Source organism: Homo sapiens, chromosome 11 (genome assembly GCF_000001405.40).
Source record: "Homo sapiens chromosome 11, GRCh38.p14 Primary Assembly".
In the NCBI taxonomy this organism is placed as follows: Eukaryota; Metazoa; Chordata; class Mammalia; order Primates; family Hominidae; genus Homo; species Homo sapiens.
The window spans coordinates 111,984,208-112,003,121 of record NC_000011.10 but is presented as its reverse complement, the minus strand read 5'-3'; the positions used below and the strand labels follow the sequence as shown (position 1 = coordinate 112,003,121).

General features: G+C 42.1%; 1 protein-coding gene across 7 annotated transcripts in view; it reads right to left on the bottom strand.

Moving 5' to 3' along the window:
• Window positions 1-18,914, bottom strand: part of DIXDC1 (DIX domain containing 1) — a 95,339-nt gene that overhangs the window by 19,532 nt on the left and 56,893 nt on the right. For 6 of the 7 annotated variants that reach the window (XM_017018466.3, XM_024448743.2, XM_017018467.2 and 3 more), the window contains 10 exons: window positions 17,801-17,890; window positions 16,198-16,251; window positions 14,067-14,117; window positions 10,603-10,707; window positions 10,118-10,171; window positions 9,534-9,626; window positions 9,382-9,453; window positions 8,014-8,103; window positions 7,558-7,719; window positions 6,976-7,042 (listed from right to left, as the gene is read on the bottom strand). In XM_017018466.3, the coding sequence (XP_016873955.1) occupies window positions 6,976-7,042; window positions 7,558-7,719; window positions 8,014-8,103; window positions 9,382-9,453; window positions 9,534-9,626; window positions 10,118-10,171; window positions 10,603-10,707; window positions 14,067-14,117; window positions 16,198-16,251; window positions 17,801-17,890 (838 nt within the window). Of the gene's footprint in view, window positions 1-6,975; window positions 7,043-7,557; window positions 7,720-8,013; window positions 8,104-9,381; window positions 9,454-9,533; window positions 9,627-10,117; window positions 10,172-10,602; window positions 10,708-14,066; window positions 14,118-16,197; window positions 16,252-17,800; window positions 17,891-18,048; window positions 18,149-18,914 lie in introns of all 7 variants that reach the window. The other variant, XM_047427787.1, reaches the window with a different exon arrangement.

Below are 18,914 nucleotides of genomic sequence, written 5' to 3'. Positions count from 1 at the left end.
TTAACCAACCTCTCTGTCACCCTCCCCAAGCCTTCCCAGCCTCTGGTTACCACCAATCAACTCTCTATCTCCATGAGATAACATTTTTTTTAGCTCCCACATACTGGTAGAGAACATGTGGTACTTGTCTTTCTGTGCCTGGCTTATTTCACTTCACATAATAATATCCAGCTCCATCCATGTTGCTGCAAAAGAAAGGATTTTATGCTTCGTTATAGCTGAATAATAATATTCCTTTGCATATATATATTTTTTTCTATACCCACTCATCTGTTGATGGACACTTCGATGAATTCCATATCTTGGCTATTGTGTTTTTGTTTATTTGGTGTTTTGTTTTGTTTTTGAGACAGGATCTCACTCTGGAATGCAGTGGCACAATCACAGCTCACCACAGCCTTTATCTCCCAGGCTAAAGCTGTCCTTCCACCGCAGCCCCCTGAATAGCTGGGACTACAAGTGTGTGCCACCATGTCCACCTAATTTTATTTTTAGTAGAGACAAGGTCTTGCTCTGTTGCCCAGGCTGATCTCGAACTCCTGAGCTCAAGCGATCTTCCTGCCTCAGCCTCCCAAAGTGCTGGGATTACAGGCACGAGCCACTGTGACCAGCCTTGGCTATTGGAAATAGTACTGCAATAAACATGAGAATGCAGATACCTCTTTGATATACTGATTTCCTTTCTTTTGGATACATACCCAGCAGTGGAATTGCTGGATCACATGGTAGCTCTATTTGTATTTTTTTGAGGAATGTCCACATTGTTTTCTATTTAACTATACTCATTTACATGCCCACCAATGGTGCATAATAAGCATTCCCCTTTCTCTGCATCCTTGCTAGCATCCTTTTTTTTTTTTTCACATGCCTGCTGTGTCAAATGTCTTTCTGATAAAAGGCATTTTAACTGGGGTAAGATGATATCTCACTGTCACAACCAACATTTTCATAAGCACCTGGTAGTCATGAAAAAGTGTCTGCAAGTGGGTGCAAATTCCTCGTGTCTGTGGCTCCCAAGGTTCCTATACTGTCTTCTCAGCCTTTAGCAAATAATTAAAAATCTCAAGCCAGGCGCAGTGGCTCACCCCTGTAATCCCAACACTTTGGGAGGCCGAGGCGGGCAGATCACCTAAGGTCAGGAGTTCGAGACCAGTCTGGCCAACATGGTGAAAACCCGTCTCTACCAAAAATACAAAAATTAGCCAGGTGTGGTGGTGGGCATGTATAATCCCAGCTACTTGGGAGGCTGAGGCAGGAGAATTGCTTGAACCTGGGAGGCAGAGGCTGCAGTGAGCTGAGATCGTGTCATTGCACTCCAGCCTGGGCAACAAAACCAAGACTCCGTCTCAAAAAAAAAAAAAAAAAAATCTCAGCTGAATTCTTATCTGTTGTATAGTGGCCCCATCTTCCTCCCAGGGTCTACCACAAGTGAGCCAGTACTTGTATCCTATCTCTCCTTGTAGGTGCCTGTTTCTTTTTCAGGCTAGTTGACTGCACTATGATTTCATCTCTCTGATGGGTTCAAGAAAGTTACGATTTTTTAGATTATCCAACTTTTTCTTGTTTTTTGGGTAGAAGCAAGGCTCTTTCTGGCTTTCTACATCCTAGGCAGAAGGCAGAACTGCTATTTTTTACAAAATCTCACTTTTTAAAAATTGTAGTAAAATTCACCATTTTAACCATTTTAAGGTGTGCAATTCAATGGCATTTAGTACATTTAAAATGATGTGCAAACAACCACCATTATCCAGTTCCAGAACACTGTCATCATCCCAAAAGAAAACCTGTATGCACTGAGTGGTTATTCCCTATTCCTCCCTCGCTCCTGACCCTGGCATCTGGCTAACCCACTCTACTTTTGGTCTCTATGGATTTGCCTATTCTGGACATTTTATATAAATGGACTTACACAATATGTGCCCTTTTGTGTCTGGCATCTTCCACTTAGCATAATGTTTTCCAAGTTCATCCACGTTGTAGCATGGATCAGTGCTTCATTCCTCTTTATAGGTGAATAATATTCCACTGTATGCATATACCAGAATTTGTCTATCCATTCATCAGTTGATGGACATCTGGGGTGTTTCTACCTTTCGAATATTGTGAATATGGCTGCTAGGAACATAGATGTACAAGTTTTTTTGAACTCCTGTTTTCAATTCTTTTGGGTCATATGGTAACTCCATGTTTAACTTTTTGAGGAAGTGCCAAACTGTCTTCCACAGCAGCTGCACCATTCACATCCCCAGAGCAATGTATGACAGTTCCAACTTCTCCACATTCTCACCAATACTTATTATTCTCCATTTTTGACACCATTTAGTAGGTGTAAAGTGGTATCTCACTGTGGTTTTGATTTGCATTCCCCTAATGACTAATGATTTTGGGCATCTTTTCTTGGGTTTATTGGCCCTTTTTTTTTTTTTTAGACAGAATCTTGCCCTGGTGCCAGGCTGGAGTGCAATGGCACAATCTCAGCTCACTGCAACCTCCGCCTCCCAGATTCAAGTGATTCTTCTGCCTCAGCCCCCCGAGTAGCTGGGACTACAGGTGCGTACCACCACGCCCAGCTAATTTTTGTATTTCTAGTAGAGACGGGGTTTCACCACATTGGCCAGGGTGGTCTCGATCTCCTGACCTCATGATCTGCCCACCTCAGCCTCCCAAAGTACTAAGATTACAAGTGTGAGCCACCGCACCTGGCTGGCCATTTCTTTATCTTCTTTGGAGAAATGTCTATTCAAGTATTTTGCCTATTTTCTCTTGGGTTGTTTGTCCTTTTGCTGTTGAGTTGTAAGAGTTCTTTATATATTCTGGATCCTAGACCCTTATCAGACAATATGATTTGCAAATATTTTCTCCTATTCTGTAGGTTGTCTACTTACTTTCTCGATAGTGTTCTTTTATACACAAAAGTTTTTAATTTTGATGAAGTCCAATTTTATCTTTTATCTATTTATTTATTTTATTTTATTATTATTATTTTTGAGACGAAGTCTCCCTCTGTAGCCTAGGCTGGAGTGCAGTGGCGCAATCTCAGCTAGCTGCAACCTCCACCTCCCAGGTTCAAGTGATTCTTGTGCCTCAGCCCCCGAGTAGCTGGGATTACAGACTCCTGCCACCACCCCCAGCTAATTTTTGTATTTTTAGTAGAGACAGGGTTTCGCCAGGTTGGCCAGGCTGGTTTCGAACTCCTGACCTCAGGTGATCCGCCTGCTTCAGCCTCCCAAAGTGCTGGGATTACAGGCGTGAACCTGGCCTATTTATTTTTTTGAGATGGAGTTTCACTCTATCACCCAGGCTGGAGCAGCTCACCGCAACTTCTGCCTCCCGGTTTCAAGTGATTCTCCTGCCTCAGCCTCCCAAGTAGCTGGGATTACAGGTGCCCACTATCACGCCCACCTAATTTTTGTATTTTTAGCAGAGACAGGGTTTCACCATGTTGGCCAGGCTGGTCTCAAACTCCCAACCTCAGGTGATACACCCACATCAGCCTCCCAAAGTGCTGGGATTACAGGCATAAGGCACTGCGCCCAGCCCAATTTTATCTTTTTTCTTTTGTTGCTCATGCTTTTGATGTCCTAAGAATCCACTGCCAAATCCAAGGTCATGAATATTTTTCTCTATGTTTTCTTCTAAGAACTTTATAGCTTTAAGCTCTTACATTTAAGTCACTGATCTATAGTCTGAGTTAACTTTTGTATATGGTGTGAAGTAGGGGGTCCCATTTCATGGAAATATCCAGTTGTCCCAAGCACCATTGGTTGAAAAGAACATTCTCTGGTTATATGGGTTTTTATCTGAACTCTCAATTTGATTTCACTAATCTACTGTTTTATTTTAAATCTGAAATAATTATTGTTTTCCCTTAAGAGTAAATGGCAAGAAAGGAAGTGGGTTCAGAAAGTACAATACTCTTTCAGGAAATTTAATTATATTGAAAGAGAAAGGGCACAGCCAGAGGGGAATGAGAAACATTTGCCTTGCATCTCTCATATGCTCCACAGTACACTAGATGATTTCTATGTATTTCATTTAATGCTCAAATTCTTCAATATTACTTTGGTTCCATAAAAAAGGAAACTAAGATTCAGTGACATTAACATTCTTGCCCATGGTCACACACTGTGCTGAATGGTGCAGCCCAAATTGTACCCTAGATCTGTTTGATTGTATATTCTGTATTTTTCCCTCTCTATTGTTTTGTGTCCAGTTTTGGACATGACTTTACAGTGCCTTGGGACCTACAGAGAGAGATATCTAGTTTACATTTAAAAATATAGTACTAGGCCAGGCGCGGTGGCTCACGCCTGTAATCCCAGCACTTTGGGAGGCCGGGGTGGGTGGATTGCCTGAGCTCAAGAGTTCAAGACCAGCCTGGGCAACACAGTGAAACCCTGTCTCTACTAAAATACAAAAAATTAGCCGGGCGTGGTGGCGGGCGCCTGTAATCAGGAGGCTGAGGCAGGAGAATCACTTGAACCCTGGAGGCAGAGCTTGCAGTGAGTCGAGATCACGCCATTGCACTCCAGCCTGGGCAACAGAGCGAGACTCTGTCTCAAAGTAAATAAAAATAAAAATAAAAAATAGTACTGAAGCTCAGAAAATAACTGAGATTTGAGATAAAACATAAAAATTATCGGCACACAAGTGTAGTTAAAGCCAGGGGAGTGGAAGAGGTCACCTGACGCCAAAGACAATATGAAAAGGCTTAGGTTTAGGCTTCAATTGGATGGAATCCCAGGACACATCAACATTCAAGAATTAGAGCAGAATAAAAGGAGATTCAAGAGGGACTAGAAGGAAAACTCAGGTATTTACTTCACTACCTGCAAGTGCCAAGTCTAACCTCTTCATCTCTATATCTCCAGCATCTAACATTGATGGTGAATAATGGATGCTTAGTAAATATGTTAAATGAATATCTGAATGACACTGAAACTGAAGAAGAAGAAAGTTTCCAGGAGACTTTTAGAGAATAGTAAATGCTTTTGAAAAGACAATGAAAGATAAGGTTTAAAAAGTAACCACTTGATTAGGCGACAAGAAAGTCAACAGAGACCCAACAAGAAGAACACTAAGCAAAGTAACAGATAAAAGACTGTAGTGGGCTGAGTAGTGAACAGGAAGTGAGGAAGAAAAGAGAGCAAATATAGACTCTTCTTTTAAGAATTTTGATGTACAGGAGTAAGAGAAATAAGTCAGTAGCTAGAGAGCTGGCAGAAGTTACACAGATTTTTGTATTTTCAGATAAGAGATATTTCAGCTTATTTGTGAATACAGTTATCACTGGAAGCATTAGATTAACATCTTAGTTTTCAAGCAGCTATAGATTTATTTGTAGTACTTTAAATAAATACTATATATGCACAAAGTAATTTTTTGGGGGGGAATTTATTGTACTTAAAAAAGAAATTTCTAAGTATTTACACCTATTTATATTGGCAGTTTACACTAATCTGAAGAAATCAATGAATAAAATAATAATAATAATCCTCTACAAACAATAGAAATGACTATTTTGAAACACTGCTAGAAAAGGAAACTGAAACTAATTCTGGTAATAAAATAATTCATTGCCAACATGGCGAAACCCCATCTCTACTAAAAATACAAAAATTAGCCAGGCGTGGTAGTGCACGTCTGTAATCCCAGCTACTGGGGAGCCTGAGGCAGAAGAATTGCTTGAACCCGGGAGACAGAGGTTGCAGTGAACAGAGATTGCGCCACTGCACTCCAGCCTGGGCAACAAGAGTGAAACTCCATCCCCCGCCGCTAAAAAAAAAAAATTTGTTTCATTCCCAGCATAGATAACCTCATCCAAGAGGAAAAGATATCTGGGATCAGAGGTTTGAAATGCTATTTTATTTACTCCACAAAAAAATTTTACATTTCATATTTTTGCAAGTATTTTCAGATTTTTACTTTAGGTTTCTTAATGTGCTTTTAAAAATTTATATGTAACATACAAAACTGTTTCTAGTCAGCTTTTTACTATTTGGTTTTTATAAATTATTAGATACCTTTTGATTAGGCCTGATTAAAAGATAAGAAAACATGAACATTACTAAGCCACAAAAGGCAAAATACAAACTAAAATAGAAATTACCAGGCAGGGTAGCTTTCCAACAAGTTTGAACAAATGGGAAAAAATATAGAGTGGGCACGGAGCAGGTTAAAATACACTTCCTAGCCATGGCCATTAGATGGTGCAAACATTTTGCAGGACTTAAACTAAACGCCTTAAGCACTCAAAGTTTTTATTTTATTTTGAGATGGAGTCTTACTCTGTCACCCACGCTGGAGTGCAATGGCGCAATCTGGGTTCACCACAACCTCCACCTCCTGGGTTCAAGTGATTCTCTTGCCTCAGCCTCATGAGTAGCTGGGATTACAGGCGTGTGCCACCACACCTGGCTAATTTTTGTATTTTTAATAGAGATGGGGTTCACCATGTTGGCCAGGCTGGTCTTGAACTCCTGACCTCAGGTGATCCACCCACCTCAGCCTCCCAAAGTGCTGGGATTACAGGCGTGAGCCACCGCGCCCGGCCTGAGCACTCAAAGTTTTAAGAATATCTCCAAAGAAATTAAACGCCTTGCTTCAAGGAAGAAGTGGAAATTTTTTTTGTGCTGTTTGGGAGTGTAGAAAAATTTACGTATGTATGTGTTTTTGTTGTTTTATATTTTGCTTTTTCAGCATAAATCTTTTGAGCTTCTGTGTTCTTCAAAGATATTTTAGCCTCTCTGAGTCAACAGCATCCTGCCTGCACGTGGCTAAATGGCACTGGGGGTGGTGATGGCATATGTCTTCATAGTCTTAGAACTAACTCAATTGCAGTATTGCTACAGAAACAAAATAGTATAAAAGTGAAGTACTACAAGAAAAATTACATCCCCAAAATGTAGTGTGAAAAATACTAAATTTCTGGTCTAATATGCTAGGAGTCCCTACTGAGCAAAAATGGGTACTTACTTGAGTTAGGGGGCCAGGACTCCCGGTATTCACTACCTACTTGAGTTCTGGGTGACTTGACCCGAACCTGGGGAGCCACACAAAAATCACAAGAGTTATGATCAATGAGAGAACTTAACCAAGAAATTTAAATCATAAAAGTGTGCTTAAAATACTACATACTTTTCTACCATCTCTTCCACAACATATAAAATCTAATATATTTATCCTAACAATAATAATATATATGAAAGGCTTTCTGGTTTCCAGTGCATTTTCCGTATATTTTCTCATCCAAGGCCAAGCTCAATCAGGGGTAGGTGGGAGGGGAAGAAGCGTAAAGGGAGACCCTGTGGGGTCAAGAGCCACAATCTTTACACAGCTACAGTTGCTGGGAGCAAGTATGACCATGAACTTCTTCTCTGGATTGTCATACCATGATGAATAGTCAGTTCCACTGAGAGAAAAAACAATAGAGAAAAACAACTCTAACCTTTAACAGGGTCTTGTATCTCTTCACACTGCCTTCATCTCAATTAAAATTCTTAAAACCCAGCTTTCTCAGGAGCTTGCCTAAGAGAGATACCACAGCAAGAGGGTTACCTTTCTTTCTTGTTTCTTCTGCGTCTCCATAACATGCAGGCGCTCCATGAGGCTAGAAATGCCCTGCTCCAAGCTGTCAATAGTGTGGTGCTGAGGATCGTGGCCACTGAAGCTGTTGCGCAGGCTGCGGAGAGCATCTCGAACAAGCTGCAGGTCGCTGGTCTGTGGGCAAAAATAAGGTGTTGCTGGCATGGCACGGTGCCACTTCCCAACCACTGGGCTTAAAAGGATATAGGAGAGAAGTTTCCAGAAGATTTTTCCCCCACAGAAGCAGGCCTATGGTTTGCCCACTAATTCTTAATTTTGGATAGCAAGTGCCTCACATCTTTACACACTCCACAGATCCAGGAATTAGGGAACTGGAATATAAAAGGCCTCATCCACTGGCCATGGCTTTGGCACTCTTCTGGTTTCAGTGAGAAGTGGCAGGACTCCATCAAAACTCCAGGTACGTACCCCTCTGTTGCTGACTGAAGTAGCTCCTTTTCCTGCCGTTGGAAGGAGAAAACCATTGCTTTGAGAGTTGTGACTGTTGTAGTTGGTCGCCTACAGCAGCATGAAGAAATGTTGCTTGTTAAAGGGAGAATTGTAAACCAGATGTGCTATCTTATTTTTCTTCTTTACATTTATCACTTCCTGATGAAGTATATAATTGTCTGTTTAATGGCTCTCTTTATTAGAATGTATCTTTCTTAAGTATAGATTTTTTTTCCCCTTTTGGTCACTGCTGTATGCCCAGCACTTGACACTTAGTACGCATTGTTGGATGTGAATAAAGGAAATGCTAACCTCCACCTGGAGGCCCCAACCTAGCCTCTGCCACAGCACTGGAGAGCCTCAGAATGCTGCTCCAGCACTGCCTGGCTTTGCTTCAGTAATTTAAAAATAATGGTGAATATATATATATACACACACACATATATATATATTCATACATATATATACACATACATATACATACATACATATACATACATAATATACACATACATACATACATATACATATATACATACATATACATATACACACATATACATATATATGTATGGTTATATATGTATGTATATATGTGTGTGTATATATATGTATATATGTGTATATGTGTGTATGTATATATATGTGTGAGTGTATATATATGTATGTATGAATATATATATATATGTATGTTTTGTTTTGTTTTGTTTTTTGATCTGTCACCCAGGCTGGAGTGCAGTGGCATGATCTCAGCTCATGGCAACCTCTACCCACCGGGTTCAAGCTATTCTCCTGCCTCAGCCTCCTGAGTAGCTGGGACTACAGGCATCCACCACCACGCCTGGCTAATTTTTGTAATTTTTAGTAGAGACGAGGTTTCACCACATTGGCCAGGCTGGTCTCAAACTCCTGACCTCAAGTTAGCCACCTGCCTTGGCCTCCCAAAGTGCTAGGATTACAGATGTGAGCCACTGTGCCAGGCCATGGTGAATATTTTTTGAGCCTGACTCTATGCCAAGTGGCTCCAACAGAACTGTGTTTAGTTATTTATGTGGATTATCTCATATACTCTTCATAATGACAGACTGAATCACTATTATTTCCATTTTCCAAATAAGCCCTATTTCTAAGGCTCAGAAGATAAGCAACTGAAGGCCACAGAATGTAGGAGTGATAAAGGTGGAACGTGAAACCAGATTTTCTTATTCTGGAACCTGCACTTTTAACTAGCTCATCATAGAGCCTCCTAACAAACAAGCCTGTGGCCTTGGTTCAGCTCTGAGTCAGAAACACAATCTCCCCGTTTGCTTCATAAATGTGGGAGGGAGAACACGGGGTCTAGGTTACCTCATCTGCCTCTCTTTTCATACAGTGAGCCAAGAGGACATCTTTGTGTTCTAGCTCTCGCTCTAGATCCACCTGCAAAATAGACACTAAATCAGAAAATGATTTCTTTGGGCCAAAGAGGCAGGGAAGTCAGTGGCTGAATATGTTCTGACCTGGTGGTAACTGACATCAGAGAGTTTCCGGAGTGCTTCTTCTAACTTGGCCTGGTGCTGCTGAAGAAGGCGATCCTTCTGCCCCAGCTCTTTCTGCAATAAAGATAGAGCTTTAAGATGAGCGGCAAAACCAGGGACACTGAAAAGTTCACCCTCTGCAGTGTAACTTCCACTCAAGTAAAGTAGAGCCTCAGGAAAAAAAGTCCTTTCCTCAAATATACCAGGAAGACTTTACACACCATAATAATCTTACATAGTGCAAAGGATTCTTCAAGAGTAATGAAGAAGGGAACTGGCATTTGTAGGAGGACCACTATGAGCCATTCATACTAGTCAGAGATAAAGGTAAGACTAGAACTGAAGTTTCTAGACCCCTAGTCCTGTACTCCTTCTCCTAGCTGTGCCATCTATTCTTCAGAGCTAGTGCATCAGGGGACACAGAAAAATGCTTCCTTCTAAAAAGCAAGGATAAAAAAAAATCAAAAAGGATGAAAATAGAATACTTAAGTGCTTTTTGAGCAACAATAACGGGCTGTTCATGAAAAGTCAGTGGAAGTCATTTCCAAACTGATATTCATTCTTACTTTATATTCTCCCAAGAGCCGGTTCCTCTCATCTAGCTTCCTCTGCAGATCCACCTGCAAGAATAAGAAAGAATTCATGGCACGCAGGTACTGCCTGCTAACCCTCAAGGAAACCAGCTACTTAGTAACCAGTTAATGTTGGCAGTTACAGTATGCAGCACAGAGAGGGTATGATGGTAAAAATACACAGCTGCTCTCCACATTTTTAGTGAAGTAATTAGACTGTAGAACCACAATTTTGCCTCTGTATCTCAGTGTCCTCAAAGTTGAAGAGGAGATCAAGGACCTTCCTGCCCAGTATGATGTGGGCTTTCACCTAGGAACAGAGATGAGTCTAATGGGGAATAAAAATAACTGCAGACACTTAAGGCAGGCATCCCAGAAGCAAGATAAGAGATTAGGATGGCCAGTCTAATAGTTCTTCGTGCAGTAGCCTGTTCTGCTAATGGGGCTCACTGAGGTCAAGGCTCATTCATTTAACTCACATTCTGGTTGTGCAGCTCATCTTTGTCCATATTTGCCCTCAGTAGCTCTTGTTTGAGCTGAAGAACAGATGTGTCCTGCTGAGTCAATCTCTGCTGCAAGGCATCCTAGGGGAAAAAGCATACTAATTATTGTTGTCTCAGTTCATCAATCAGCCAGTTATTATTACAAATTACTAAAGCCTTTAATGTGTTTCCAGCATTCGTTATGGCAGACTGGAAGACAAATGGGGTAAAGGGTCTTGCCACGAGTTGCTGAGGAGGGGTTTTTCTGTCCCCCTCTAGGAAACTAGCATCCAGAGCAAAATCCTATCCACTGTTCTATGAAACTTACTGAAGCCTGATTTTTTTTCTCTGCTTACTATTTGTCCCCACCCTCAATCCTGACAGCATGGTGTATTCGAGAGAGAAAGACTGGACTTTGGGATCAGATAGACGTAGATTCAAATTATAAACCTACCACTTACTACTTTTGTGATGTCAGCCTTGGACAATGCACTCTACTTTCTCCCACCTGGGCTTTCTCATTTATATCTTGGGCATATAAATACTCAATCTAGATTAGCTGTTTTTCCTTCTACCTCTCTGCCCAGTCCCCATTTCCTGGAGAGATGGGCCCTATTCATGCCCGCCACTCTGTTGTTAAAGAATCCCTGAAATCACTCCCATGCTGGCTTCCAGAGCCTTGCTGCTATCCTGCTTCCAATGGCTTCCAATGCCTAGTCTGGACCAGGATTAGAATTATATTTCCACTGAGCATAACTGTTCTTTGATTCATGATCCCTCTTCCCAATTTCCTATGATCTTAATAGCATTAGGCTTTCTTTCCCTCAGCTTGAACCCTCTTGGTTCCTATCAAGCCTAACAAAAGGTGAGCTGGATATCCTTGCTTATAAGGACAGTTATGACATATTCCATCAACCATGGTGACTTCAAATGGAACTAATGGACTAGGGCTGCATTCTAATATATTTGTCCTGACTTTTCTCTCTTTACAGACTGCAAAGAAAGGGTACAGACTCTGAAGAATGTGGGAGCCCATTCTTAATTATACACTCTGCCATGACAGTACATGGTAAAGGAAGTCTAAGATGCCCTTGGCATCAGTAGTTCAAAGGAATATTTCCCAAAATGTGCTCCATGGGACATTAATGTGCCACATGATGTTACATGGGAGAAAAGACACTTCTGTGGTTATTAATTCTAAATCATTTTTAGGCCAACCTCTTTATGACAGACCTTTTCAGATCCTTTACATGTTATTATTCACAGTGAGTCTTCAGGACAGCAGAGCATTTCTCAAACTTATCTGACCGTGGAACACATTTGTTTTTTAAAGTGTTTCAAAAGTACTAAGCCTACGGAATATACCTTGGAAAATGTTGCTGAGTGAATAGTCTAGCCCATGAACGGATGTGCAAGGAAGAGGGGAAAAGCAGCCACTTAAAAACATCCTCTTCTACTTCTAGGTATTATTGCACAGATATACTCCCATTTGGGTGAAATAACATATATTCAGGCTCGGCATGGTGGCTCACACCTGTAATCCCAGCACTTTTGGAGGCCAAGGCAGGCGGATCACGAGGTCAGGAGTTCGAGACCAGCCTGGCCAACATGGTGAAACCCCGTCTCTACCAAAAACACAAAAATTAGCTGGGCATGGTGGCACACGCCTGTAATCCTAGCTACTCGGGAGGCTGAGTCAGGAGAATTGCTTGAACTCGGGAGGTGGAGGTTGCAGTGAGCTGAGATCATACCATTGCACTCCAGCTCTGGGCGACAGAGCAAGACTCCATCTCAGAAAAAACAAAACAACACAAAAAAACCATATATTCAAGGCTGTTAGATCATTGTTTATATTAGCAAAAGACTAGAAATTATCATGTATAATAAATCATTTAGCATATATATGTATGTATACAGTGGAATACAATGGAATACTATGCAGCCATAAAAAAGACCTAGGAAAGTCTTTATGTACTACTGACATAGAATGAGCTCGAAGATATACTACTAAGTGAAAAAAAGCAAGGTGTCAAGTTTTATTTCTAGTATATTACCATTTGGGTAAAACCGTGGGGGAAAGCGATGTAGACACAAATGTGCTGATAACTGTTAAGATGCCTCTAGGAGGTCGGGCGTGGTGGCTCACACCTGTAATCCCAGCACTTAGAGAGGCCGAGGCAGGTGGATCACCTGAGGTCAGGAGTTCAAGACCAGCCTGGCCAACATGCTAAAACCCAGTCTCTACTCAAAATACAAAAATTAGCTGGGTGTGATGGTGCGCACCTGTAATCCCAGCTACTCGGGAGGCTGAGGCAGGAGAATCGCTTGAACCCAGGAGGCGGAGATTGCAGTAAGCCAAGATCACGCCACTGCACTCCAGCTTGGGCGACAGAGTGAGACTCCATGTCAACATTAAAAAAAAAAAAAGGCCGGGCGCGGTGGCTCACACCTGTAATCCCAGCACTTTGGGAGGCCAAGGCGGGCAGATCACAAGGTCAGGAGATGGAGACCATCCTGGCTAACACGGTGAAACCCCGTCTCTACTAAAAAAATACAAAAAATTAGCCGGGCGTGGTGGCGGGCACCTGTAGACCCAGCTACTTGGGAGGCTGAGGCAGGAGAATGGCATGAACCCAGGAGGCAGAGCTTGCAGTGAGCCAAGATTGCGCCACTGCACTCCAGCCTGGGCAACAGAGCGAGACTCCGTTTCAAAAAAAAAAAAAAGATGCCTCTAGGAAAGAGAACTAGATGACTGATGGGACAGGGCTGGCAGGCAGACACTTCATGGTTTATCTTTTTATACCTTTAAAATGATTTGAATGTTAGTTAACTATTCAAAAACAAAGTAAATAACAATTTTTTTAAAGGACATTCCTTTTTTTTTTTTTTTTCCGAGACGGAGTCTCACCCTGTCACCTAGGCTGGAGTGCAATGGCATGATCTCAGCTCACTGCAACCTCTGCCTCCTGGGTTCAAGCGATTCTCCTGCCTCAGCCTCCCAAGTAGCTGGGATTACAGGTGCCTGCCACCACGCCCGACTAATTTTTTGTATTTTTAGTAGAGATGGGGTTTCACCATGTTGGCCAGGCTGGTCTCGAACTCCTGACCTCGTGATCCGCCTGCCTCGGCCTCCCAAAGTGCTGGGATTACAGGCGTGAGCCACCGCGCCCGGCCCTAGAGGACATTCTTTCACACTGAAGAGGATTCTTTTACATATAGAGACAATCAGGGTGGAACAGATGGAAATGGTAGCAACATGAATCATAACTACTAGAAATAAGCCTCAGCAAAACAAAGGTATATTCCTCGACATGTCTCACTTCCCTCCCACAAAGCCCTTTCTTTACCAATAGCACAGAGCTATTAAAGGTCCACAGAAAATTCCAACTCTCACCACTCACCAACAGACTACTTTACATTGCAGAGACTTTATTTAAAGAATTAAATGTCTTCTTTTTTACCTTTATCCCCTGTAAGTTTCTGGCTTCTTGTTTACATTTCAGCAGTTCCTTCTGCAAACCAAATATAGTTAGATCAGATGGTGACATCTGGGTTGCTTCAGAATGCATTACCTCATTCTGTCGGCAAGAGGACAAAACCCAGTTGATCATTCCGTGAAAAATTAACCCTCTACTAAGGCAGAAAACAGCTCTGGTTCAGTGAGCAGTACAGGCTGATCCACAGAAACAAGAAGAGAACCATTCCGTTCTTCCCTGTTGGCACCCAGGCTTAACTGCTCAGGTAGAGAAGAGTTGCCAAGAAAGAAGATACCCCATAATTCCCATAGGCTCTCATTTCTATATTTAGCAATCTTCACCAACAGGAAAACCTAATTATAATAATCTAAATCCTTCTCACTGAATATATGATCATATCTAAATATGCCTACCCCCAATGTCATTAAATAATTATCCCTATTTTTAATGTTTAGCAAAGGGTTGGAGTGTTTCTGATCCAAGAGGGTATTGTTCTTTGTGGGCCAAACAAAAACACATTTAGCCTAATAATGAAATACTGAGTAATTAACATTCCCTTACAATAGATAAAATATATGTATACGATTGTCACTAGGAAATAGATTTTAGAAGGGGAACAACCATAACACAGACCCCAATCTCTTCTCTTCCTATTGTATCACATCAAGATTTTGCAATTAACATATCTAAAATGGGGATCTGTAACTTGGACTCCACAGATGGGCTCAAAAGTTGCTCTATTAGGCTGGGCACAGTGGTTCATGCCTATAATCCCAGCACTTTGGGAGGCCAAGATGGGAGAATCACTTGGGTCCAGGAGTTCAAGACCAGCCTAGGCAACAAGGCGAGAGCAATCTATACAAAAAACACAAAAATTAGCCAGGTATGGTGGTGTGTTCCTGAAGCCCCAGCTACTAGGGAGGCTGAGGTGGGAGGATCGCTTGAGACTGGGGGGTCGAAGCTGCAGTTAGCCATGATCGTGCCATGGCACTCAGCCTGGGTGACAGAGTGAGACTCTGTCTCAAAAAACAAACAAACAAAACAAAACAAATAAATAAAAGTTGCTCTATTAAAAATTCATGTCGGCCAGGCACAGTGGCTCACGCTGTAATCCCAGCACTTTGGGAGGCCAAGGCAGGCGGACCACGAAGTCAGCCGTTCAAGACAAGCCTGGCCAACATAGTGAAACCCCATCTCTACTAAAAATACAAAAATTAGCCAGGTATGGTGGCGGGCGCCTGTAGTCCCAGCTACTTGGGAGGCTGAGGCAGGAGAATCGCTTGAACCCAGGAGGCAGAGGTTGCAGTGAGCTGAGGCTGCACCATTGCACTCCGGCCTGGGTGACAGAGCCAAACTCTGTCTCAAAAAAAAAAAAAAAAATTCATGTCTATGAGTATGAGTGCAAACATACATGCATACTTCTAGGGAGAGGGTTAATGTCTTTACTCATAGACTTATGACCAAAAGAAAAGCTAGGAATCACTGACCTAAAAGAATTCTGAGAAGTATTTATAAAAAAAGACTGTACTGGTATTAGATACATTTTTTCTTTTAATTAAAGAATAAAAACCATGAAATATTTCAAACATATAGAATGGTACAACCAATAATGACACCGAAATTCTATTACCTACCACCAGGATTAAAAAGTTATTACCTTCCTGACATATTTGGGATGTATCTCTCTCTTTCAAGTAAAGACATAATACAGATACAGGAAAGATTCCAATTCTGAAATCCCTTTCCCTCTTGAAGTTGTGTAATAGTCCCATAATGGTGTTTTTTTTTTTTGAGATGGAGTCTCACTTTGTTGCCCAGGCTGGGGTGTAGTGGCACGATCTCTGCTCACTGCAACCTCCTCCTCCCAGGTTCAAGCAATTCTCCTGCCTCAGCCTCCCGAGTAGCTGGGACTACAGACGTGTGCCAGCACATCCAGCTAATTTTTCGTATTTTTGGTAGAGACGGGGTTTCACCATGTTAGCCAGGATGGTCTCGATCTCCTGACCTTGTGATCTGCCCGCCTCGGCCTCTCAAAGTGCTGGGATTACAGGCGCGAGCCACCGTGCCTGGCCCCCATAATGTTTTTAAGGGGTAAAATGTACATGTCTTGACATACCTTTAAGTCCTGATTCTCCTCCATACTCTGATCCAGACGACTTTGGATTATAATCTGAATATAAGACAAACAGAGATGGCTAAGCACCTATGCTGTGAAGTACAGAGCCACTCATTCAACAAATATTTATTGAGCACTACTAGATGCCAGCTCTGTACTGTGGATACAAAGAACAGGAAACAGTTCCTGCTCTCTGATGTAAGTATATGCATCAAGTAGCAAGTAGATCTATATGGATAAAGCTTAGAATAAGTATGGGTGGGCCAGGCGTGGTGGCTCACATCTGTAATCCCAGCACTTTGGGAGGCCGAGGCAGGCAGATCACTTGAGGTCAGGTGTTAGAGACCAGCCTGGCCAACATGGTGAAACCCATCTCTACTAAAAACACAAAAATTAGCCAGGTGTGGTGGTGCACACCTGTAATCCCAGCTGCTTGGGAGGCTGAGGCAGGAGAATCACTTGAACCCGGGAGGCAGAGGTTGCAGTGAGCCAAGATCGTGCCACTGCACTCCAGCCTGGGGCAACAGAGCAAGACTCTGTCTCAAAAAAAAAAAAAAAGAATAAGTATGGGGTGGGGGTTGGGTGCAGGGGAGGGGGTGGGGTAAAGGGAAGAAGAAATGGCAAGAGATGAATTTGGAGAGAAATATCAGGGCGAGATCAAGAAAGGCCAGTGAGGGCAATGGGGAATCAATGAAAAGTTGTATGCAGAAGGGTTACAAAATGAAGTTTGTCTTTAAGGCAAATTATTCTTGCTGTTTTACAAAAACTTAATTAGGGGAAGACAGGAGAGGAATCAGGAAAACCAGTGAGAAGGCTGTTAGAATACTGGATGGAGGCTTGATTTTCAAGTGGCTGTGAGAATGGAGAAAACTGGATAAAGAAATTAGAAATGTAAACTGGTAAAACTTGGTGACTGACTGGATGTACAGGGAAGTATGTAGAGGGAAAGGATTCAAGGACAACATTCAGATTTCTGTTTGGCGCATTTTGGTATCCAAAACAGATATCCAAAAGGACAAGTAGCTTTGGTGGTTGGGCAGAGGACAGAAACACTTTAATTTAGGACTCACTGAAATTGAGATGCTTATGGGACTTACAAGTGGAGATAATAAGTAGGCAGTTGCATATTGCATACATAAATCTAGAAATCCATAGCAAGAGCTGAGCTGGAAATAAATACATGAGAAGCAAGAGGGAAGTGAGTGAAGAACTGGAGGCAGATACTACCGCCCAGGTTAATGTTTAAGACACATGAGGGCCTAGACTGGAATGCTGAGGAACACCAACATTAAAGGCACAAGCAGAAAACGAGAAGCTTCAAAGAGACCTTGAATGTAAACTCCATAAGGGTCGGGTCTTAGATCTGTTTTGTTACTACCATATCTCCAGCATGTTGAAATAGGGTCTGGCATATAGTCAGCACTCAATAAATATTTGTTTATTAAATGAATGAAGAAGGAAACAATGGTCAAAAATGTAGGAGGAAAACCAGAACTGGTCAAGGAAGACAGCATTTCAAGAAGGCATGAACAGCAGTGTCAAATGCTAAATACAAGTAAAATACATACAGATTTAGTGTCCAATCACAAAAGATGGAGCTCACCAGTTGTTCCTCGGGATTGACACCTGGTTCACAGAGGGCCAAGGGCCTCTCCTGTTCATCTTCAGGTAAGGATCCATTGAGCAGTAAGGCCTGAATAACCACAAAGGCAGAAAGAAACTTAACTCTCCTTCAGATGACTTAGTCCAGAGTTGAACTTGGTAAGCTCACCCCAAGTTAAAATCACAACTCAGCCTCCTCAAGACATTTCGTTGGTAATTTTTGCTCCTTAGATACTTCCCATTGCTCACCCTGGGACTAGTTCCTTTCGTTAGGTCCATGCTCTGGCTCTTTCAGCTCTCTGGACACCTGACTGCTCTGCTTCAAGGTGCCTTGGCCCCAGAAGAAAATCTAAAAACAAACCTTTTTTTCAAAAGAGACACAACACATTTCAAACTGGAGCTGCTCAAACTCAATTTTACCAGGGAGAAAATGATCTAAAAGCAGTGTAGAATCATCACGGCTTAGAAATGAGTATTATAATGAATTATTTGGAATACATTTGGAGCACTCACTTGGGTTTGTTTGATTTTTCTTTGTTTTACTGATTCTGCATTTTTACTCCCTAAAGCAACCTCTATTGAACAAGAAGGAAAACACATTTGCAGAGAGATGTCCTCATTCATTTCAGCTCCTGACCCAGGTGGTTTTCATTAGAATATACGTAGGTGGAATAGGGAGGCAGATTTACCATGAAGCTAAGAAAGCTCCAGCTGTAGGCCCCCCGCATGCATTGCCTCTCCCAAGGTCCTATACCTAATTATTATTGTTATTATTATAATATTTGGAGACAGAGTCTCACTTTGTCACCCAGGTTGGAGTGCGGTGGCCCGATTTTGGCTCACTGCAATCCAGGGTTCAAGCAAGTCTCATGTCTCAGCCTCCTAGTAGCTGGGATTAGAGGCATGCGCCACCACACCCGGCTAATTTTTGTATTTTTAGTAAAGACAAGGGTTTTGCCATATTGCCCAGGCTGGTCTCAAACCTGTGAGTTCAAGCAATCCACCCGCCTCAGCCTCCCAAAGTGCTGGGGTTACAGGTGTGGCCCACCATGCGTTGCCTATACCTAATTATTATATTCATAATTTTGTAATCTTATTCTTTAAGAAGCCCCCCT